The following is a 24,719-nucleotide window of genomic DNA, read 5'->3' on the forward strand; positions in this document are numbered from 1 at the left end:
GCCCTAATAAGCTGTGAAACCACCACCACAGAGGCACCCACAGTCATTACTAATACTGATCACAACTAAAGAAGCTGTACAAAGATTTCACCATTGCACCAATACAAAACCAGAGCCACTATAATCTGTCCAACTGCCACCCTTAGGCTCATCTTCAGGGACAAGTCTTCCCCCAATGAAAGCCACTCTATAAAGTTTGGAAGAGGTGATCGTACCATCAGATGCACAGACATCAATGCAAAAACACAAGACACATGAAAAAATAAGGAAGAATGATACCACCAAAGGAACTAAATGATTCTCTAGTAACTGATGCAACAGAAAGAGAAATTTACTAATTATCTGAAGAGGAATTTAAAAATAATGATCTTAAGGAAACTCAGCAAGATATAAAAGAATACAGATAGACAATTTAATGAAATCAGGAAAATAATTCATGATCTGAATAACAAATTCATAAAGAAATAGATATCATAAAAAATAATCAAACAGAAATCTTGAAGCTGAAGACTTCAATCAATAAAATAAAAAATGAAATATAGAGCCTCAATAGCACACTCCATTGAGCAGAAGAAATAACCTGTGAAGTTGAAGAAAGGACTTTAGAAATGACTCAGTCAGAAGAAAAAATAAGAAAAAAAAAAGGCAAAAGAGTGAAGAAAGCCTATGGGACTTATGGGATGCCACTAGGCCAACAGATTTTTGGCATTATGGGAGTTCCAGAGAAGAGACAGAGAATGCTAAAAACTTTCCAAGCCTTGGCAGAGACAGAGGCATCCATATCTATGAAGCTCAAAGTTCCCAAATTGATCAAATCCAAAGAAGAATTCTCCCAGGGGCATTATAATCAAACTGTCAAAAGTCAAAGACAAACAGAAAACTTTAAAAGCAACAAAAGAGTCAAGTCACACATAAAGGAGTCTCCATTTGACTACCAGTGGATTTCTCAGGAAAAATCTTATAGGCCAACAGAGAGTGGAATGATATATTCAAAGTACTGAAAGAAAAAAAAAACTGACAACCAAGAATACTATATCCCCAAAGCTGTCTTTTCAGAAAGGAAGGAGAAAATTTTTCATAGACAAGCAAAAGCTGAGGGAATTCATTACCACTAGGCCTGTCTTACAAGAAGTACTAAAAGGAGTTCCTTACGTGGAAATGAAAGGACAATAATTACTATCATGAATACATATGAAAGTATAAAACTTCCCAGTAGAGGTAAATATATAAACAAATCTAGAATACTCCAACACTGTAGTGATGGTGTGTAAATCATACATATTTCTAGTATGAAGGTTAAAAGTCAAAACAGTGAAAATTAAAGCTATAATACATTGTTAAGGAATACACAACATTAGAAGATGTAAATTTTAAGATTAAAAACATAAATGGGGTAAGGTAAATGGCTAAAGTTCTTGTATGTGACAGAAAAATTGTTATCAGCTTACAACAGTAGTTTATAAGATGTTTTATCTAAACCTCATAGTAACCACACACACACAAAAAAAAAACCCTACATCATATATACAAACAATAAAGTGAAAGAAATCAAAGTATAGCAATATAGAAAATGATCAAATCACAAAGGAAGACAAGAGAGGAAGAAAGGAATAAAGAACAAAACAACCAGAAAACAAGTAACAAAAGGTAATAGTAAGTCCTTACCTATCTCTAATAACCTTGAATGTAAATGGATTAAATTTTCTAATAAAAAAGACATAGAGAGGATGATTGGATTAAAAAAAAACCCAGATCCAGCTACATGCTGCCTACAAGAGACATACCTAAGCTTTAAGAAGACATATAAGCTGAAAGTAAAATGATAGAAGATATTCCATATAAATGGTAACCAAAAAAGAGCAGGGTAGCTATACTTATGTACTTATATCTGATAAAATAGACTTCAAGTCAAAAACTGTCAAAAGAGAAAAAGAAGGTTTTTATTAAATGATAAAGGGGTCAATTCATCAAGAGGACATAACCACAGTAAATATTTATGCACCTAACAATGGAGCCTCTAAATATATAAAGCAAGAATTAATGGATATGAGGGGAGAAATAGATAGCAATGCAATAACAATAATGAACTTCAATACCCACTTTTAATAATGAAAAGATCAGGCCAGGTGCAGTGGCTCACATCTGTAATTCCAACATTTCAGGAGGCCAAGGCAGGAGGATTGCTTGAGGCCAGGAGCTTAAGAGCATCTTGGGCAACATAGTGATACCTTGTCTCTACAAAAATATTTTCTAAGGTAGCCAGGCATGGTAGCATGTGCCTGTAGTTCCAGCTACTCAGGAGGCTGAGGCAGAAGGACTACTTGAGCCCAGGATCTCAAGGCTGCAGTGAACTATGATGCCAACACTGCACTCCAGCCTGAGTGACAGAGAGACACTCTGTCTCTAAAATTTTTTTTAAGTGAATAAATCAACCAGACAGAAAATGAATGGAGAAACACTGGACTCAAATTGCACTTTGACTATATGTCTATCAAACATAGGAAGAACAATATTGCATAATCTCACTTATATATGAAATCTAAATTTTTTTAAAAAGTCAAACATAGAGAGATAGAGAAAAAAACAGTGGTTACTGGGGACTGGATAAAGGAAGAAATGGGGAGATGTAGGTCAGCAGATACAAAGTAGCAGATATTTAGGATAAAAAAGTCTAGAGATCTAATGTACACATGAGGACAATAGGTAATAAAATTGTGCCAGATATGGGATTTATGCTATTGTAGGTAAGTATTGATTTTTTTAAATAAAAGGGAAAATAAAGTTATTCCTATTACTGGTATCAGATTAGCATAAATCAGATAAAAGAGTGGGAGTTATTGATATATCACCACAATGAAAATAAGAAATTTTAAATTAGATCAATTCAAGAAAATAAAGCCCAATTTAAAGACAGATACAAGGAATTAATTTCCTTGCAACAAATTAACTTCCTTTATTTCCTTAAATATGACTTCAGTACTTAATAATAATATAGGCAGATCCTTCCAATGAGTTAATATTCTGTGTTGCCTTAGACAGAGTCAAATGTGGGGACCAGAACAAACTGTATAGACCAATGTCAATGATTTTCTACTATCCCACCTCATCCCTTTTACCCACTGGAAAAAAATATGTAGGAAAAGAAGCAAAACAGTAAAACTTAGGATAACCAAACCAACTTCCTATTGTGTCTATCTCCCAGATCAAATGGAGAATTATTTGTACAGAGTCACACAGGCGGGAATTAAAGAAGATTATCTTATTTGACTGTGACTAGAGATTTTTTAGTTAGAGATACAGCTGCTGTCCACTGACCATCTATCTCCTTGGCTTTTACAACATCCAAATAAAGCTGCAGTGATTCATTTTGAGGGGACTTTGGAAGCAGGACTTCAAAGAGTAGGTGGCCACCTAGCAGAGAGTCCTAGAGGGGCATGACAGCAGCAGCAAGCTTTGGAATGGACCTTGTGGTCACAGCAAAACAGGGTCACATAGTTTGGAAGAAGCTTCCTAACACCTTGGTGCTGAGGGCAGAATTCCTCAGGGAGTCCCAGTAGGCCCTGGAAATGCCTGCCACACAAAGAGCTGGTGTTCAAGGTAATCTCCTGTCCTAGAAGACCTTCAGAGTATTTATTACTGCCAGAGCAGACAGTCTAACTATGACGGCTTCTGGAAGAAGACACAGTACCAGGAAAGCACATATAAGTCCAGGTTCAGGATTTGGAAATCCAAGAGAAAGTCCTACTCTGGGCTGAAAAATCAGTTATGACCAGAGAAAGAGACTATGATGATGACAGTCATAAGGATGATGACAACAACACAGGGGCCAGAGGACCATGCAGGGTCCTTCTAAAGAGTCTAGCATGGTGAAGACCTGGTTGGTGAAGGAATTAAAATTCACCAGAAGAGATAAGGAGAGACAATGACGAAAGAAAAGGAGGGAAAAGGCAGGAAAGAGAAGGCAAGAAGCTCAGAAAAGAGAGGTGTGAATTTTAAAAATATAGAGATTAAAAAAATGAAGATTTTAAAAATCAAGTGGACAATTATGGTATTCTCTTTTCCCAGCCTTATGAAGTAAAAAGAAATGTGAATGTGTGAGGCAACTTCAGAAAAAGAGAGAATACTAAATCTTTTTTCAGGTATCATGATAAAACTATGGTTTTCTAAACCAAGGTGAAACATATCACAACTCCTGAAGTAATAACACAACATTCAATAAGACCATTCAATACTCAACTAGAAACTGCAGGTCATTCAAATAAGCTCTTGAGAGCAATGATTAATTTATTACCAATTAACCACATTCAACAGACTTTCCAATTATAATTTTTTAAAGCTAGCCTTTTAATAGCAATAACATAATGTTATTTCAAAAATGTTTTGAAAATAATGTTTTGTGATTTACAAAACATGTTCACACACATTAATTTAATCATTTAACAAGCTATTTTAAGCAACACATATTTATTGCCAGGAAATATTTTATATGACCTAGTCAATAGTGTGAATTCAGAGGAGAAAGTAGGTACATACCAATAAGGTTTCTAATGCTGCAGTTGTTTTCCCTTATATCTAAACAAATAAATTTTTTAAAAACATATGTGCATGGTGTCTTACAGTTCCAGATGCCATTTTTAACATTTCTTAGAATGGGATATATTTGTGGCTGTTTTCCTGGGTGGGATTGGCTTCCTGGTAGTATTTGGGTTCATGGTACCAAAACAAATTCAGGACAGAAGTTCTTTTATGTTTGAGGTGTACAAGAAGACCTCAGCTTTGCTTTCACTTTCTCATCCTACAAGGAATAGGAGTTACTGAGATGAACACGGAGAATCCCCTATAGGGCAGTGGCAGTCTTCTCTTTTAAATCTACAACTGCCAGTGATGCAGGACACACAGGCTTGGCCTGTGCACCTGGCCCACCCATATCACCCAGTATTTGGTTATTCCATTTAGATTCATGTCTATAGGGCACAGCAAAGCAATAATTCTGCCACCAACTCACCATAAGGAAGCAACCTTTCAGTCAAATTGTCAGCCAAACTGCAATTGCTTCCTCAGCCAGCCTGCTCTCCTGCTCCCAGTGCAGGTAATCCTGTTCCATTGACCAGGTCCCCAGAATAAAATCTATAAGCAGCACCTTCTCTACTAGACCCATTCTCTTGTATCTTTCAGCCAGTTTGAGTACCTTAACCACACAGGAGAGGCTTTTCAAAAAAATGCCCTAACCACTGGAAAAGAATGTGAAAACCTATTACTTCCAAGAGCCAACTTTCCAACCAGGACCCGTGAGCCTGACTCAAGCTCTAGAGACTTCTCTGCCCTCTCCTTACCTGACTTGCACATTTACACTCACCTGTTGTTTATGTTTCTGCCAATTTCCCCCCAGTTCATTACCAACCTCTGTGAAAACATACAAGGTTTGAGCTTCCTTGCACCCTAGAGCTCCCCACTCCTCAGAATTTTAATTCAGTACTCTATAAAGTACAAGTGCTCAATAATTTGTTTTTAGCTAATAGTACACTGACAGTCATCCCTCAGAAAAATGTCAAGCCATCCAACTTTAATGAGGAGCCAATACAAGATCTAGATCTTACATGGCTGATTTATGGAGTTTTGTTGTTTTTGCCTGAGATAATGCATAATGGGATGAAAGTGTCTTGAAGAAGGATTCCATGACTTCCCACCTGTGGGACTTTGGACAAGTCATCTCACCTCTCAATCCCTATTCTCCCAACTACAAAACCAGAATAATATAAAAGCAGTCCTATGTACTTCATACAATTATATGGAAGTTAAAGATAGAAAAATATAGGCCAGATATGGTAGCTCACATCTGTAATCTCATCTCTTTGGGAGGCCAAGGTAGGAGGATTGCTTGAGCCCAGGATTGTTTGAGCCCAGGAGTTGGAGACCAGCCCTAAGCAACACCCTTTCTCTACAAAATTAAAAAAAAAAAATTAGACAGGCATAGTGGTGCACACCTTGAGTCCCAGCTGCTGGGAGGTAGGAGGATTGCTTGAGCCCAGGAATTCAAGGCCAGCCTGGGAAATATAGTGGAACTCTGTCTCTACGAAAAAAAATTTTTTTAATTAGTCAAGCATGGTAGCACATGCCTGTAATCCCAGCTACTTGTGACACTGAGGCAGGAGGATTGCTTGAATCTGGGAGGTCAAGGCTGCAGTGAGCCACGATCATACCACTGTACTTCTGCCGTGGTGACAGACTGAGACCCTGCCTCAAAAGAAAAAAAAAGAAAATATAGGTAAAAGCATTTCATAAGATATGCACAATAATATTAAATGTATTTACTATAATAGGAGATGACCTGAAAAAGTATATTAAATATATTTTAATTCTGTATATACTGAAACTTGCATGGAGAAATCACCACTTATTTTAAATAAGGGAAAGAAATTATACTTCATCATTTGTTCAGAAAAAAATATTTATTGAGCATCTCCTAATGTCTTCTAATGTGCAAATCATTTTTCCCACATGAGATATTTACTTGACTAGATGATTTCAGATCATCCAAAATTAAGGAGGGAAAAAAAATGACTAAAAGTCCCATTCAGCTACTAAGATTTCTGTTTTTGTTTTTCATCAATAGATTTTAAAAATGCACTATTAGCCCTTTAGTAGTATTTTATTTTCTTCCAGACCAGATCAACCCTATAGAAGTCTTTTATTTCCTTCTAAGCATTCGAAGTCTTATTTCCTTCCAGGCATTATGCCAGCTATTGTGGGGGTTGCTACCACAAGACTGTGGCTGTTAAAGCTTAGACAAAGCAGAATAGGCGTGAATAATTGAGAGAAGCAAAAATGCCACAATATATAGCCTATTGTGTATCTTAATTTTTTTATAAAAGTTTAACACAGAACAAAGTTTACCTTAATATGAATTACTGCCTTAATAATACATATTTAAATCAATACACTTATAAGGCTAGACAAATTTCTTCAGAAATATTAATTTATTCAAATACATTTCCTGTGTCCCTCATCTATGCCAAACACTGCACTAGATACAGAGGATACAACTGTGAATAAGAAGCACACATTCCCTGCCATCTAATGAGAGCTTCAATGAGATACACAGCCATTTTCAATAGCCTGTGCTAAATGTGCCTTGGTGGGGTAGTACCACAGGGCTGTAGTACAGAAATGGCGAAAGCTTCCTGAAAGGAGGCTTCCAGTCAAACAGAAATATCAACACATCCATAACTTCTTAGGACTCATTACTCTGAACACAGCCTTTATTTTTTCCACCTAGGTAGTTCAGGCACTAAGCCATCTGTGGATTGAGGCAGTCTGTTCTACCTCCAGTGTTAACAGAGAAGGGCAGAGAAGGGAGGGTGAGGAGCACAGGTATTGAAGCCAGAGTGCCTGAGTTGACATCTTCACTCTACCTTGTTTGCGCTCTGTAAGCCTAGACAAATTTCTTAGTCTCTTTTTGTGTCAGTTTTCTCATCTGCAAAATGGGGATAGTAATAATACCTATCTCAAAAGATTAAAGGAATTAATATATGTAAAGCACTGAGAACAAGAACTGACACATAACACGTACTGGCTGATCTTACGATTTTGATGGCAAGAGCTTATTGTGATTGAGGTCATCCCTTATTGTGCAAGGGGTAGCAGCTCACTAAATCCACGTAGGGCAAAGGAACTGCCCACGGGTTAAAAGTGCCTTCTAGAATTGTGCATCAGAACAGTCCTGAGTTATTCCATCCTTCTGCTGTACTCTTTTTTTCCTTCCAGAACAGAAATCAGAAAGTGCTTGCATTTCTTTACATCTCTAAGAGGCTTTGTAAAACCTGAGACAGGGCTTTTCCCACTCAACTGGTAAAAGACTCCTCTATTTAGCAAACAAGCTTCTAACTCAATTAACTGCTTTCCTCCTTCTCTATTGGTCCCTTTATTATCAGTTAAGCCCAAAGTTTATCAACCACAGGCAAACTGTTTCTTAAAGTAGGCTCTTTTTTTTTTTACCCTTTGATATGTTTTCAATCACAATTTGAAAATAAATTTTTTTCAAGGGAGCTACATAATTCCTCCAACAAAAATTCTATTTTTTTTTTGTCATCTACAAAAAGATGATGACATCAAACCAAGAGAATTCATGTCTCTCTTTATAGACTAACTGGGTATGGTACATTATTTTTAAATTATACTGCCAGTTCTCATTTTTCATACCAAAATGTGACTATATAGCCTATCCTTAAGAGCAAGTATGCAAACACTACAGAAGAGTTGGCAATTAAATAATAATTAGGGAACTAGAAATATCAAACTTCAGAGGAACAAAAAGAATACACACATGCCAACGACTTCATTGCGCAAATGCAATGAGTATTCATGAGGGCTTATTTTGACAAAGACTCACTGTAAACTCACATTAAGAGTTAGGCATATCAGTCTAATGGGTTATTAGAGGGCCACAAAAGTCCAAAGCATTTTTTTGTAGAATACTCTATCATGCATTTAAACAAAGATTAGTGTAAATAAATATATAAAATATTTTACCTCATATTGTTAGTTTCCCAGGCTGTTTGTCAGAGTTAAATTGCCATGGTTTGCCTATTTGAGAAGGTGTACCATTTTCAAACCAGTGTGAACTTAAGGCAACTATAGTGAGATTGAACTTCATAATAACATTGTCTCAGGGTCCACATTTGAAGAATCGGTAAATGAGAAACACTATTAAGCATACACTCTGAATAATTCCCACAATAGGCTCTCTTAACTGGAACTAAAATGGACTTGCATGAAGGAAAAAAAACATATGCCCAATCTAGGATATCATTTAATTCTATCCCCTCTTTATTCTAGTACAGTAAATACATGAAAGAATCCTGGAATGAGAGATGGAGAACATAGAGCTGTGGAAATTACTTCAACCACGATATGACCAGGAGGAAACTGGATCATTCTCCAGCTTCCCAAACCCTTTTCCTGCCATTTCTATTAAGGCTACTCCTACACTGCATTAAAAAGATACAAAAGAAAAGTAGTTCCCACAAAGAAAACTCAAAGATTGGTTGGGGAGCCAAATATATGCAAAAATATCTGATTAAGGGTGAGTGTCACAACAGAAGTACAAACACAGTATTGTGAATGGAAGAAAAGACTAATTCTGACTGGGCATCTACAGCAGCTTTTTGAGAGGAAAACTGTATTTGAGCTGGGCCTTGACTGATGGGCAAGGCTTCAACTACTAGATACGGGGGATGAGGAGGTCCTTACTGTAGGTGCTGACAGATCAGGTGAGCTGACCACAAGCAGCAGAAGAATTCATGAGAAGACAAAGTCCTCAAAATAGCCTGAAGACCAATAACAAAACAACTGTCTGCAAGTAATAGGTGGCCAGAAATCCTCCAGAGCATACAGACCAAGGCCAAAAAGTTTGTCCAGAGAATCAAAGGAGCTGACTCAAGAGGAAATATGAATGGCAAATATCCATTAAAGTTTAGGATAGTGTTTTTCAAGCTGTGGTCACAAAATCAATTTAGTGAATAATGATTGGCATTATTTTTCCAAGATTGGAGAGAAGGAAAAGGAAGAGAAGAAAAGAAAAGGAAAAAGATGGAGGGAGGAGGGGAAAAAAGGCGAGGGAAAGAAAGAAGAAAGAGTGAATTACACACAAAGTAATTATATTTTGGAAAACTTTTCAGTTTCTGCCTGTGTGAAGAAAGAAAGGAAGGAGGGAGAGAGGGAGGGAGGAAGGGAAGGAAGGAAGGAAGGAAGGAAGGAAGGAAGGAAGGAAGGAAGGAAGGAAGGAAGGAAGGAAGGAAATAAATTCCTCATTCAGAGGGCCCTGCAAGGCCAGTATCTTGGCACTAGATTAAAATGCAGCTCAGCCCACTCAATATATTCAGACCGTTTGTTTGGATCCAGGTGTTCTTGGCCATGAATAATCTGCTTGAAAATCTCATTGCACTAAACAGGATGTTCTCATTAAATACTTAGAAAGACACAGCCAGGGCCGGGTGCGGTGGGTCACGCCTGTAATCCCAGCACTTTGGGAGGCTGAGGCGGGCGGATCACGAGGTTAGGAGATTGAGACCATCCTGGCTAACATGGTGAAACCCCATTTCTACTAAAAATACCAAAAAAAATTAGCTGGGCGTGGTGGCGGGCGCCTGTAGTCCCAGCTACTTGGGAGGCTGAGGCAGGAGAATGGCATGCACCCTGGAGGCGGAGCTTGCAGTGAGCCGAGATCGCGTCACTGCACTCCAGCCTGGGCGACAGAGCGAGTCTCTGTCTCAAAAAAAAAAAAGGAAGAAAAGAAAGACACAGCCTGATGACTTTGTAATGCAAGTAAACTAACAGAATCACTTCTAAAGTTTGTAGCAATGCAATACAGATTAAACCTGACTCCTTTGGCCTATACAATGTCCATGTTTCTTTGTTTCTTTCTTTCTATTTTTTTTAAGATAGGGTCTCACTCTTTCCCCCAGGCTGGAGTGTGTTGCCAGAATCTTGGCTCACTACAACCTCCACCTGCCAGGCACAAACGACCCTCCCACTTCAAGCTCCCAAGGAGCTGGGACCACAGGCACACACCACCATGCCCGGCTAAATTTCTTTGTATTTTTTTGGAAAGATGGGGTTTTGCCATGTCACCCAGGCAGGTCTGAAACTCCTAAGCTCGTGATCCACTGGCCTCGGCCTCCCAAAGTGCTGGGATTACAGGCATGAGCCACCGTGCCCAGCCAGCCATGTTCTTAATAAATAGTCTGATAGATGCCAAACATCTTAATATAAAAAGAGAATACGTTGGGAAAGCATAAAAATCTACATTTAATGCAATAAAAATAGATCATATTTCACCAAGAAGCAAACAGTTTAAAGTGACAGAATATCTCCTCTCATTTACATGGGTCTTATATGTTTTTTTTTCCCAAAATATTTTCATCTAAAACAACCCTGCCTACATACAATTGATTAAAAAGCTGATGAAAAGACTACCCAAGATCACAGAGCTAGTTAGGGATGGGGCCAAAAGAAGCAGCTAAGTCTTCTGAGGTTTAATTTGTTGACATTTTCATAACTCCATGATTTAGTAAATTATTAAGAATAAGTCTTCTATTTTTAAGAAAAACAACTTCATAAATATACACAAATACATGTGTAATTAGCATGTAGTTGGTGCACAGACAAGCTACAGAACTTGAAAAAGGCACATGCCCAGAATTTGGAAATAAAGTTAAAAATAATCAAATTCTGTATAACAAGATGCAAAAATATAAACATTAATTAGATTAGATTAGCTAAAAGAAAAGTTAGAAGTGTGTTGTTGTTTAGACTAGTGCCTCTCTAAATAGGAAGCCTGATATTTAAAATATAACTAATCAAAATAAACCAAATTATCAAAAAATGTTTTGCTAGTCATCATACATGCAGATATTCTGATACTGAACAAGGAGTTTTAGGTTGATAACCCATTTTCAATGTTTATGTAGAACTGTTTAAGTGAGCTGAGACTGCGCCATTGCACTCCAGCCTGGGCAACAGTGCGAGACTCTGTCTCGAAAAAAAAAAAAAAGAGAGAGAGGGAGAGAGAGATATACCTGATTGTTTTTGTGGCTTGTGTTTTTTTGTTGTTGTTCATTGGAATGGAGCTGGGATGCTTTTCTAGGCTTTACTGTTTCAGAGAAACATCCTATAAATCTATTCAATCTTCAATCCCCTTTACCTCGTTCTAAACTCTGAAAGCAATCTTTCAATTACTAGTTTGGCTCCCCATGCCCTTTAATTCCCAAACGGGCTATCTTGGGTATCTGACATGAATATTCCAGGTTATGACAAGAAATACTTATACAAAAAACCTGAAGACCTATAATGCAAACTAATAAACTAAAATTATCCAGTTTATTAAATTTATTTAAATACAAATCATCTTAAGCTGCAATTTACTGCTTGTTTTATATCACTTACTAAACTGAAAATTCTATAAATGTAATATGTATATACAGCAAGCTATTGCAAGCACTCGACATACGTTTTTGAATAAATGAACGAAGTGAATGAATGAGCGAATTTAGAAGATCAAGTTCTTGAGACAGCAATAATATTGACTCAGAAAACCCAGTTATTTCATCAGTGATAAACCTCTGCAATGATAATAATGCTGATGCTTACTTGATGTGTTCCCTCATAGTTTACAAGTACTTCCACATATCAATGCATGAGATCCTTGTAAGCAATCCTATGAAATGAGAATGCAAATATTATTGCTCCTTGTATGGGGAAACCAAAAGCCAGCAAGGTCCAGGGCTTACTGAGACCACTACGTTAGTAACGGTAAAAGCAGGAATTAAGCACATGCTTTGATTCCAAGGCAGGGTATTCTGTGCTCAAGGTCAGGCGGCCTATCAGCAAAGGTGGTGATATAGTGCCACAGCATGTTAAGCTGGAGTTACGTAAATACTTCTCGCCCAAGATCAGGACTGGCCCTAACGTCTGAGGCACAGTCAAACCCAAAGATGGGGGTCATATGGCTTTAGCTATAAAGAGAAGGATTCAGAAACAGGAATCTAGCAGGGCTAACACTTTGTTTTAGATCAGATCTCTGGAAGACACCATAGGGATGGAAAAGGAACCAGACAAGAAGAAAAGAATTGATGAGAGGCGTGGAAAGAAAATCAGGAGAGATGAGTGTCAGGGAAGCAGAAGGAATTTGGAGATGAGTGGCCATCTCCACTCATCTTTTCTGTGTCATGAATCAGTCATGAATCTCCATCTTTTCTGTGTCTCTCTAAGACCAGATCTTTGGAGATGAGTGGTATCAGTCATGGAGGATATGAACTGAGGACTGGCCTCTGGGATTGGTGACTAAAAATCACTGCTAACCTATTAAAAGGGCCCTTTTAGTTAGAGAGGTAAAAATGAAGACAATTTGCTGGGCAACAGGGTTAAATGAGAAAATTCTAAGTTACACAAAAATCTAGGGAAATCTAGGTACGTTTCACAAGTTTTATAGCAGCTTAAAACAAATACAGTCAACTCTTTCTACCTCCTAAGAACTCTCGCCCAATCCGGAAAATAAGACTGAAGCTAAAAGGTAGATACAGTAGAAGAGTAGGGGCATAGAATTTCTTGCTGTTGCTGCTGTTACTTCTGTTCTTTCATCTGTTAAAGAGGGAAATGTAGCTGTTACTACTTCTCAGAAAGCACACCAGTCTGGAGGCTAAAAAATATACATCTGCCAGCTTGCAAGAAGGCTCAATGCTGACAATGTTTTTCAGACATAAGATTCCTCCAGGATGCCACTAACCTTCCACTACAAGCCAAAGCAGTAACCCCATTTAACAGAAGAGAAAGGCAAAGAACAGAAAGGCCAAGTAATTGCTAAAGCGGAGAAAGTGACTGACAGATAAGATTTCCTTTTCACTCCTAGTCCTCTCTGCTGATTAGATCTACTCTAACTGCCTTTATAAATGTTTCAATGAATCTTATCTTAATGCATTGGATTAGCAAGACCAACTCCCCAATGATAATGCAAAATAACCCTGAAATGTTTCATGCCTCACTCATGAGTCAGAAATTGAACTTACAGTCTCCATTTGGACTGTGATGATCTTGATCTTTCACCTCTAGCAAAAATCTCATAGCTATACTTTGAAAGTTAGTAATGAGTGCTTCATTTGCTTTCCAAGCAGATAGAAAACCTTTTTTAAATACACTCAGACTTCTATGACCTTCATCTATGACTTAAAGACTTCACCACATGTGATAATTTTCTTTGCTCAGGAGACATTCTTAAATTGTCTTTGAAGAGATTTGAGCACCAGCCCCGTTGATGAAAGTAAACACACACACACACACACACACACACACACACACACACACACAGAGGCACATACACATACTTGTTATCTTTCTTCTATACCCCAAATCAAAATGTTTCTTTAAAATGTATTTGGAATTCAGCATGACTATCAAAGTTCTAAAATCCTTCAACCTGCTAAGTAAAATAAAATAAAAATGCCAGCTAAATATGCTTGCATTAAAAGAAGTACACTGTCTTAATACTAGACCAGGCAAGACCACAGCCTAATGCTGCAAGTAGCAAACACAGTCTAGATCTCTAACCTGAAGTTCTGGCTGTCCCACACAGCTGGGTGGAGCTGACCTCACTTGTGGTACATTTTGTTTTTTTCTACACTAAAATGGAAAACAATAATTTAATGATATGGGTCATCTAGGCAAAATTATTCCACTACGTTTCGCCTATTTTTGTGAGGTTTATAACATGAAGTAGAGATTCTGAATACTGTAATATCACATTAAATGTAAGCTCCTCAAAGTCAGGCACTAGATTGTCAGGTCTCAGAACACAATACCCTAAAGCATGGTGTCTTGGCATACTGAGTACTTTTGAGCTGACACAGACAAGGGGGCCTCAAAAGCAAGATGGTCTCCCTAACCTTCTCCTACCCTCCTGTCTCCTGTCCCTCTTTCTCTTGCCTGTGAGTGGATCATAGAAACTAGAATTCCCCTCCCCCTAGGTGGATCATAGAAAGCAGAAAGGTCACTCTGACTTCCTCCCTTCTCCCCTGAAGACCCTCATGTGACAGGTGTCCTTTCTCACACTCAGGGGGAAAGCAGGTCTTACAGAGACACAGAAAAGAATCTGAAAAACCTGGCCTTGTTAAGTGCCCCAGTTTATTACCATTAGAGCATACCCCTTTTTTTCCAACCATTTTTCTCCACAACTATCCATTTATTTCATCAGACAGCATAAAAATATAGTTTTCCCTGTCTCTTTGGGTCTACATTTCTGAAATCACCCATGTCACCAAAAACTTCGGGTAAATAAATTTGTTATGCTTTTCTCTTGTTAATGTGTCATTTGTTATAGGGATGTCAGCTATGACCCTTGCCATGGGTGAGGAAAAGGTTACTTTTTCTCCCCTGTAAGACGTTATTATCCTTATTATTCTCTATGGTAGAAAACAGTATCTTAAAGTTGATGCTTAACAATTGGTTGAATACTGTATTCTATTTCTAAAGCTGAATGGTGGACATAGAAGTGCATATTGTGCTTTAAACTGTGTATATGTGTTTTACACCCTTTTTATAGCTACGATAGGTTTCATAATTTTTAAAAGAAGGAGATTCTTGAGGCCCATCCACTAAACATTCTAATTCAATATGTCTAGGGTGGATATGATATAAAGAATTTAAGTTTACTTTTCTAATCTTTCAGGTAATGCCAGTGCAAGTGATCCATGAAATCCATTTTAAGAAACAAACAATCAAAAAACCACAAATAAACATAAATAACATGCCTATAGTCAGTACACTGCTACTAGTGGTAAAAGTGCCTATTTTCATGGTTCGAATTACCAGGCTTGGTTTTAAACACAGATAACCTAGAGTTTAAATATTACTCCCAGATCTGACTAAAGACTCCTTTCTAACTTGCCCTGACTTTTATCTATTACAACTCTTAATGCTTTTTTCTTTTTCCCTTCAGATATTTGAAGGCAGACACTCCTTAATTATATTTCTCTTCCACTTGTTTAATACCTAGGCTCTCAAAATTTTGCAAAGTTGTATAGCTTTGCAACTTTACTTGGACGTTAAGGCTTCATATTCACTTCACATTTTTCGGCAATGGCTTTTCGCTGAATTCTTCCTTTTCTCAGCATGCAAAAGAAGCAATATTGAGATAAAAGAAGACAATGCCTCTTTCCCAAACCCTACCTTTCTTGCTTTTTCACTAAATACCAGTACAAACCATAGAGAAATGAAATAGTTCTACAACAATACTATGAAAACCACATAACTCCCTCTCCAAACATAGGGGAATAATTTTCTAGTTTCTTTAAATTTTTTTTTCTTTTATAAAGGAATCCCTGTGATAGTTATTGTAAGGCAGAAGTAACTTGAATTCAAATACAAGGATTCTCTTAGCAAGTCTCATCAGGTTTAAAACCTTTGTAAGGCTTTTGGAGGGAAAAAAAAAATCAAAAAAATTTTTTATCACTGAATCTTGTATTTAGAACAGAAATTTAAACTAAACAAATATATATAGTTTTAAACAAAGAATAAGTGTTTATCTTTTGCCTCCCATGTCAGAATAAAATATAAAACATTCTGATCTATCTTCTTATTTTTGGAAATAAAATTAGGATTCACCAACTCTTATTACTTTTTTTTTTTTTTTTATTTTGAGACGGAGTCTCGCTCTGTCGCCCAGGCTGGAGTGCAATGGCACAATCTTGGCTCACTGCAACCTCCGCGCCCCGGGTTCAAGCAATTCTTCTGCCTTAGCCTCCCGAGTAGCTGGGATTACAGGCACATGACACCAAGCCTGGCTAATTTTTGTATTTTTAGTAGAGACGAGGTTTCCCCATGTTGACCAGGCTAGTCTTGAACTCCTGACCTCAGGTGATCCCCCAGCCTCGGCCTCCCAAAGTCCTGGGATTACAGACATGAGCCACCGCCCCCGGCCTTATTACTTTTTCTATTACTTAAAAAGGAACTACAATTACATGCACACACACATACACACAGCCACAATCACCACCAGCTGGACCATGTCAAAGCACACTCTACAACTTTGCAGTTTTGAAAACTTGTGTTTAAAATATTCAAATGAATAAATAACAATCACAAATAAGAAGCTGACCATGTTTCTAATATTTAAATAAAAATAGCTTAAAATGTAAAAGCCACAAAAGAAGATTGTCAGTCAGCTTTACTACTAAACAGTATCATTTGTTTACCTGAGAAATATACTGGCATTTCGGTGTATATACATTGCTATGCACATACATTGAGTTCCTTCTGCTGCTAAAAATTATTATAAATTCTAATTGGCTCACTGAAACAATAATAACCTAAGTTATAACAACATATTTTTTTTAACTAACAAAAAGCAATAAAGTTACTTCTTGCCAAAGTACAACCCATGACAAAATCTTTTGGTAACCAACAATTTTACTGAAAATCATTTAAAATGAAAAGTGTGTAAGTAGCAGAAACAAATTTCCTCCTACGTTCTATAACAACTTTGCAAAATGAAAACAATCATTTCAAATGACACCATTACAACTGCATACATCCCCAAATCATTAAAAACAAATATGCTATACAACCACACACTGTATTTAGTACATGAGAGCACATATTAAACATGTATATATTACATATAAATATATAAATATACATGAGCATCAACTAAATGTGAAAAAGGTGATAACACAAAATCCTGAAGGAAGACGTTTTCATACTTGTCATATACACCATCAAGAACATTTTGCAAGGACAATGCAACATGGAAATATGCCACAGCAATTCTATTGCTATGTTAAAACCCATGTGAGTACAGAGCCGCTACATGCAAGGCAGAGCAGAGAATCACAGAAAAGCAGAATCAGGGCCTTCATCAAATGGTAGGTGACAGTGGGCCCAGCTTGTGGACCTTTTCATTACACACACCAACAAATTCACTGCCCATCCTTAGATTACATTCTTTCCAATATATTATACATAAGATTAATCTTCTTTCACATTTACTTCAACAAAAGTCTATATTCACTTATCTAGTAACATTATTTTAGGAAAGTATTAAACTTTTCTACTACCTTTTCTTGCAGATCATTTTCTCCTACAATCTGGTGAAAATATGAAATAGTCTACTCATTTCATATCAGAAGGTAGGACCAAACTGGACTCTGCAAACTTCATTTCTCAAGTTTGATATTCAAGATTTATGAAAAATTATATCTTATACCCCTGGTCTACAAAAATGCTTGACAATCATGAAGCTATACAATATAAACATTTAAAGAAATAGACTAACACTTTTAGAAAACAAAGGAGATATTTCTAAATTCCACATTATTAACGTGGAACATTAATATAAACAATTTATCTATTGAGGGAATAAACATGTAAGTAGACTTTAGAAGAATCTAATGCTACGTCAATGTCAAGGATATGGATGAAATGTGAACTTTGGCCAAAAGTTGAGAACAAAAAGGTTTTTTAGTCTCTTAAATCAATATAGCCTACACACCTCTTGAGGGAATCACCATTAGACAAATCACATTTATCTCTAATCACAATAGAAAGAAAACCACAGTGCATACTAGTCTAAAACTCCTATACCTCCTCTATCTCACTAATTATATGGCAAATAAAAATAACTACCTGACATAATGAAATCTTTGGTTAAATCCAGCTATCTGCCAATTTCATTCCTACACTAAGAAGCTAAATGTGGCTTTGAGAAAACACACAACCACAATGCCTGGCTTCACTTTCAATGCATGTCTACGCATCTCAGCTGGCTCCTCAGTCCAGCCTAGCTGTCCTGCCTTACCCTCAAGTTAACTCACTTTCCTCATCTAGATGGCAATTGCACACTTTCTCCTCCCTTTTGAAACATCAATACTACCTACCTCATCATCACTCTCAGTGGTTGACCTTGCTTCCAACCTCACTAAGAAAATAAAAACCATTAAAAGAGACCAAGTATACCCCTTCTACCCAGCTACACACATCCATATCCACACACTCTGCCTTCCCTTCTGTTATTATAAATAAACAGCCCAAGGTCTACTGACAGTCATACAACTCAATACCATTCTCTCTCATTTGATCAAATATATTACTCCAGCATACACACTCTCTCTTACATCAATAGTTTCCTCTCTAGTGTAGCATTCTCATCATGATGCATACATACATGCTGTTATTTCTCCATTAAAAAAATTTCTACCCCACATCCCCTCTAAATACAACCTCATTTCCCTTTTCCCTTTCATCACAGAGAACCTCAAAACAGTTGTCTCTACTTCTATCTCTAATTCTGCTCTTCCCACTTTTTTCTTGAGCCCACCCCAAATAAGCTTTTATCCCAATGCTCCACCAAAACCACTGTGGTCAGGCTGCCAATTACTCCATGTAGCATAATTTAGTGGCTAATCTTCAGAATTTACCTTACACAACTTATATCAGCATTATTTTACACAGTGAACCAGACCCTCCTCTTCAAACACTTTTTCACATGGCTTCCAGGACACCTGGCTTCCCTGACACAGTGCTCCCCTCTTTTTCCTGCCCTCATTATTGCTGCTTTCTCTGTTGCCTTTGCTGGTTATTCCTCATTCCCTTGACCTCTTAATGTTGGAGTGATCCAGGGCTCAGTCCTTGAACCTCTTCTCTTTTATATCTATGCTCTCTCCCCAAATAATCTCATCCAATTTTGGCTTTAAATACATTTATCCACTGATGATTCCCTAATTTATATCTCTAGTTTAGACCACTTCCTAAACTACCAATTCTAATAGCTCTAATTCTTCGTTAGTATGTCCACTTGGATATATAATAGGCATCTTAGTACATCAAAAAACCAAATTCTTGATCTTTACCTATGTGGCTGACATTACAAGTATTCACTAATGTCAGTTCCTTTCTCCTTCAGGGCACATAAATGACAATACATGGTAAGGCCATATGACTTATTCTGGCCAATTTAATGTGAGCAGAAGTGCCATGTATCACTATCAACCTGGGCAGTGAAAAGCCTATTTGTGGTTCTCCAATCTTTCTCTCTGCTGTGGCAAGTGAAAATGTTGTGTGTTCCATCCAGGGGGTAGACCTACAAGACAGTAGAGCCTCCAATCAATCTGGCATCTTTAGGGATGGCAAAAGACCTTCCCACTGACCCACATGGGACATGTACCATGAACAAGAAATAAATGCATATTTTTAACCACTGAGATTTTGGAGTTCTTAGTGATCCTAGAATAGCCTAGCTTCTGTAGGCTAATACTCCCCAAACCTGTTCTCACATAGCAACAGCAACCTCATCCTTGCAGTTGCTCAACCAAAAACCTTAAAGCCATTCTTGACCCCTCTTTTTCTCTCACACCCCACATCTAATTCATCAGCATATCCTGTACCTTCAAAATACACCCTGAATCCAATCACGTTTACTGTCTCCACTACCATCCTGCTCTTCAAAAGGCACTGGTAAAAAATAATAAGACAAGTCACAGACTAGGAAAAAATATTGACAAAGCAAATATCTGATGAAAGAGATATATCCAGAATATATAGAACTCTTAATGCTCATCAATAAGTAAACAAACCACCCAATTTTTTAAAAAATGAGCAAGAGAGCTAATAGACATTTCACTAAAGAAGACATATGAATAGCAAATCAGCACATGAAAAGATACTCAATATCACTGGGAATACAAATTAAATTAGAACCACAATGAGATATCATTACACCGTATTAGAATGGCAAAAATTAAAAAGACTGAAAATACAGTACCAAATGTTGACTAGGATGTAGAACACTGGAACTCTCATTCGCTACTGGTTGGAATGTAAAACTGTATGACCACTTTAAAAAATAGTTTGGTAATTTATTTAAAAGTTAAACATACACATGTAGTAAAAGAAGAGTGCTTATATATTGAGAGAAATGGTCTACATCAGAAGCTATTTATAGGAGACTTATAACTATTTATAGATGATTCTTCCTTGATTAAAAGGTACTAGAACTTACACCTACTGGATGATATACCCATTCCACTCCTAGGTATTTCCAAGGAAACGGGGGTATATTATATATAAACTTAAGATTTCTACAGTAAATGCTCATAGCCAAAAATTAGAAAATGCCCAAATTTCCATCAACAAGTGAATGGATAAACAATTTGTAGTGTATCTATACAAAATACTACTCCTCAGCAAAAAAGATACTGAATTATTAATGAACACAACATAGATGAATTTCAAAATATGTATGCTTAGTAAAAGAAGCCAGAAAAGATTTTAAAAAAGAGCACAAACTGTGTAATTCCATTGCATAAAACTCTAAAAAACGCAAACTAATCTATAGTGACAGAGGGCAGATCAGTGGTTGCCTGGGGAAGAGGGGTGTTGAGAAGGGCAGATGGAAGGAATGTCAAAGGGACTCAGGAAACTCTTTGAGGGTGTATATATGGATATGGATATGTTCACTATCTTGATTGTGGTGATGGTTTCACAAATGTACACATATGTCAAAACATTAAACTGTTTAAGTTTATACAGTTGGTTATATGTCAATGATACTTCCATAAACCTGTTTTCAAAAAGAATATAGCAGGTACTCAATATTTTTGGAAAGCATAAAGTGGATGAAAATGAAAATAGATGTTGAAAGCAGAATCCTAAGAATGAACTGAAGTGGAAACCCATTATATCTTCCCTCCTTCAATAACATCTTTTTTCTGAATGAGAGAATATAAGTAGAAAAGGAGAAATAAGCTATCACAAATGAATGTCCGTCAGTATAAAGTCATAGCACCTTTCAACCAAGGAAGAACCCCCTATAAGTAGCTTCTGCATTGGACAATTGCTACTCCAATATACAAATACAATTATTGTGCCATAGTCCCCTAGCAGTTGAATAATCTCTTTGAATTCATCTAAGAAACCTAACCTAATTTCTTCTTTTTATATCATCCTCACTTGCCATTAAACATATTTAACTTTTCCCCATCAATTTAGTTTGTTAACAAATTTTTTGGAGATAAGGAATCGCCATACTGGATGCCCTCAGTCTGAGAATCTTGGATGAAAAATGCCTTTCCCAGGTCTTCTCTGTCCTTTGTCTCCCAATTTCCACTGAGGTAGAAGAAAAATCACTATCTCTATTTCACTCATTTCCCTTGCTCTTCTCTTTGAAATCCTAAATTCCATCCATCATAATCAATTTTAGCATCATGCTAGTATGTGAGTACACCTCCTTCTTTCACAAGCTGCTATGGCTAGGAGTTTTCTGCAACATCAACCCTTCATGTCCAAAAATGTGATATATTTTTGAAATAAAAGCACAGCATGCACTTATGTTTAAATAAGGTAGCCCCATGACTCACCTCATTTCCACCAACTGCCTTGGTTAAAATCACTGCAGAAGACACAGGCGGAGGCATGCAACCTACTGTCTGCAAACTGAAAAATAAAAGAAAATCCAACTATAAATAATTTTATAATCATAGACAGCTTTCACTACATTCATTCTAAAATAGCAAGGCTGAGCAAATGAATATAAGGGCATATTTATTGATGCACATCCCCTGTTGAATTTAGACAAGTCTACACAAGGCAACGTGGCTTACACGGTGCTGCAAATGTATGGGTTCTAATCTCTTATGCTATTCCATAGGCTTGAGTGAGTCTGTTTTAAGCTATTTAAGCTCTTATTATACAATTCAAAAAGCAGTCAAGGTATAGTGAGTGCAGTCATTGAAAGATAACCAAAATGGGCAGGGCTCGGTGGCTCACGCCTGTAATCCCAGCACTTTGGGAGGCCGAGATGGGCAGATCACGAGGTCAGGAGATCGAGACCATCCTGGCTAACACAGTGAAACCCCATCTCTACTAAAAGTACAAAAAATTAGCCGGGCACAGTGGCGGGTGCCTGTAGTCCCAGCCACTCAGGAGGTTGAGGCAGGAGAATGGTGTGAACCTGGGAGGCAGAGTTTGCAGTGAGCCGAGATAGCGCCACTGCAGTCCAGCCTGGGCGAAAGAGTGAGACTCCGTCTCAAAAAAAAAAAAAAAAAAAAGAAAGATAACCAAAACGGCTAATCATTTGGTAAGTGTATATAGTCTTAGGTTATTTTTAGGTAAAGTGAAAAATATTTTCCCTACATTTTGTTTGTAGGAAGTCTCTAAATCTTCAAAACCACTTCCTAAGTTCAAAAATACTTGACAAGACACAAGCTTACATCTTTGGATTTCTTTCTATAGAAGAGCAGTTTTCAAATCTTCATCTCACAAAAGACATTTTAACATTGTAATAACATTATAGAAACAGGCATGACACAATCACATACTTCTTGCATTCAGACTCTGTAGTAAATTCTAGTATCTATCCTCAATTTGGTTTTTATTATATTATGTGCACACACCCAAGATGATGACAGGTCTATTTTCTTAGTTTAGGACAGAAAATAAATTGCATAACAAGCAAATGAAACTATGAGTAATAAATTTAAGTACTATACATTTTTTTAATTACTCAAAATTCATATAGAATATATCTTCTGGGGAGAACAGGTAGCTGGCCTAAGTGGAAAGTTCATACAGGGCATAGATGACACAGAGTATCTGACTTAGATTTTGAATGGGTATGATTAAAGGTTACAGTTGGCCATTTAACAACATGGATTTGAAATGTGAGGGCCCCACTTATACAAGAATTTCTTCTGCTTCTGCTATGCCTGAGACAGCAAGACTTCTTCCTCTTCATTAGCCTACTCAATGTGAAGATGACAAAAATGAAGACCTGTATAATGATCCATTTCCACTTAATGAATAGTAAATATATTTTTTCTTCCTTATAATTTTCTTAATATGTTTCTTTTCTCTGGCTTAATTGTAAGAATATGTAATACATGTAATATATGAAATATATATTAATCGACTCTTTATATTATAGGTAAGGCCTCCAGTCAATGGTTAGGCTAATAGTAGTTAAGTTTTTGGGGAGTCAAAAGTTATATGTGGATTTTCAACGGCATGGGGGTTGGCACCTCTAAGCCTCACAGTGTTCAAGGTCAACTATATTTTTATTCATTTTTGTAAGAACATATTATCTAAACTTTATGCAATGGATTCAACATTAGCTCTGAAATAGGAAAAAAATGTTTAAACTCGTTTTGATTGAAGCATAAGAAAACCCATTTTATGGAATTTCCAACTCAGTTCCATTTAATATGGTCTTCTTTCCAGATCTGTTTTACAAAGAGCTACTAGAGTCGTCTGTCCTATTATAAATTCCCAATCTCTGAGGCTTCCTTAGAGTCTACTATCATCATCACTAATACTGAGCATTTACCATTTGTAGTAGACACTATTCTAAACACTTTACATACTATCTCATTTATTTCTCAAAAGTTATATTTAAGATAAGTGTTATTATTATTCCCATCTTACAGAAAACTGAAGTGAAGAAAGAAGATAAGTAACTTTCCCAAACTCACAAAGCCACCTATCTGGGGTAAAACTTTTATGGGTCAAAGACTTATCTAGGCCTCCCACTTCAGCCTCTCCGCCTTCTGTCTCCCCTACCCCCAATACTAGGACAGATCCTCTCAGGCATTTTCAATCTTTTTAGCTTTTTCATCCCTCCTCTTCCAGCCCCTTCCCTTCTATGTGCAAAAAAGCAGAATTCTCATAGTTTTAAAAAGACAAAAATTTTGCTTGAACTCAGGAGGCAGAGGTTGCAGTGAGCCAAGATTGTGCCACTGCACTCCAGCTGGGCAGCAGAGTGAGATGCCATCTCAAAAAAAAAAATTTGCCAACTATATATTGAATACATATATCTTCTATGAGTAAAATCCTACAGGAAATAATTTTTAAAAAGAAGTAAAGACATTATTCCTGCCTTCAAGGAGGCAGAAGAGTCAATGCAGAAATATAGATAACTAACAGCAAAATGAGTGAAATGAGTGGTGCTGCCTCCTCAAGATACAATCCCACTTTTCTCATTGTGACTCACTTTTGACCTTTAAAGAGTGCCTGCCTCCATGGCCCCAGAGACCATTCTCTTTACTTCTCTGAAATAAGACTTCTGCCCCCTCTACTAGTAATAGTAACCTTAAAGTAACCAGTAATCCCCAAATCACCAAATCTGGTATATTTTTCCTCATATTCATTCTGCTTACCTTCTTACCTCTCAGGCCACTCTAATA

The 24,719-nt window shown here is 37.0% G+C and overlaps 1 protein-coding gene across 16 annotated transcripts in view; it reads right to left on the reverse strand.

The window, feature by feature from the left end:
• The window catches only part of SLC10A7 (solute carrier family 10 member 7), a 267,960-nt gene that overhangs the window by 227,969 nt on the left and 15,272 nt on the right, over positions 1–24,719 (reverse strand). For 14 of the 16 annotated variants that reach the window (XR_007057973.1, NR_133924.2, XR_001741332.3 and 11 more), the window contains one exon: positions 21,900–21,975. Coding sequence is in view for 12 of the 16 variants with exons in the window: in NM_001317816.2 (NP_001304745.1) it covers positions 21,900–21,975 (76 nt within the window). In the remaining 4 variants the exon portion in view is untranslated. Of the gene's footprint in view, positions 1–10,242; positions 12,215–16,938; positions 19,996–21,899; positions 21,976–24,719 lie in introns of those variants that run through there. The other 2 variants (XM_017008691.3, XM_017008689.2) reach the window with 2 other exon arrangements.

The sequence above is a fragment of the Homo sapiens genome, chromosome 4 (assembly GCF_000001405.40).
Source record: "Homo sapiens chromosome 4, GRCh38.p14 Primary Assembly".
In the NCBI taxonomy this organism is placed as follows: Eukaryota; Metazoa; Chordata; class Mammalia; order Primates; family Hominidae; genus Homo; species Homo sapiens.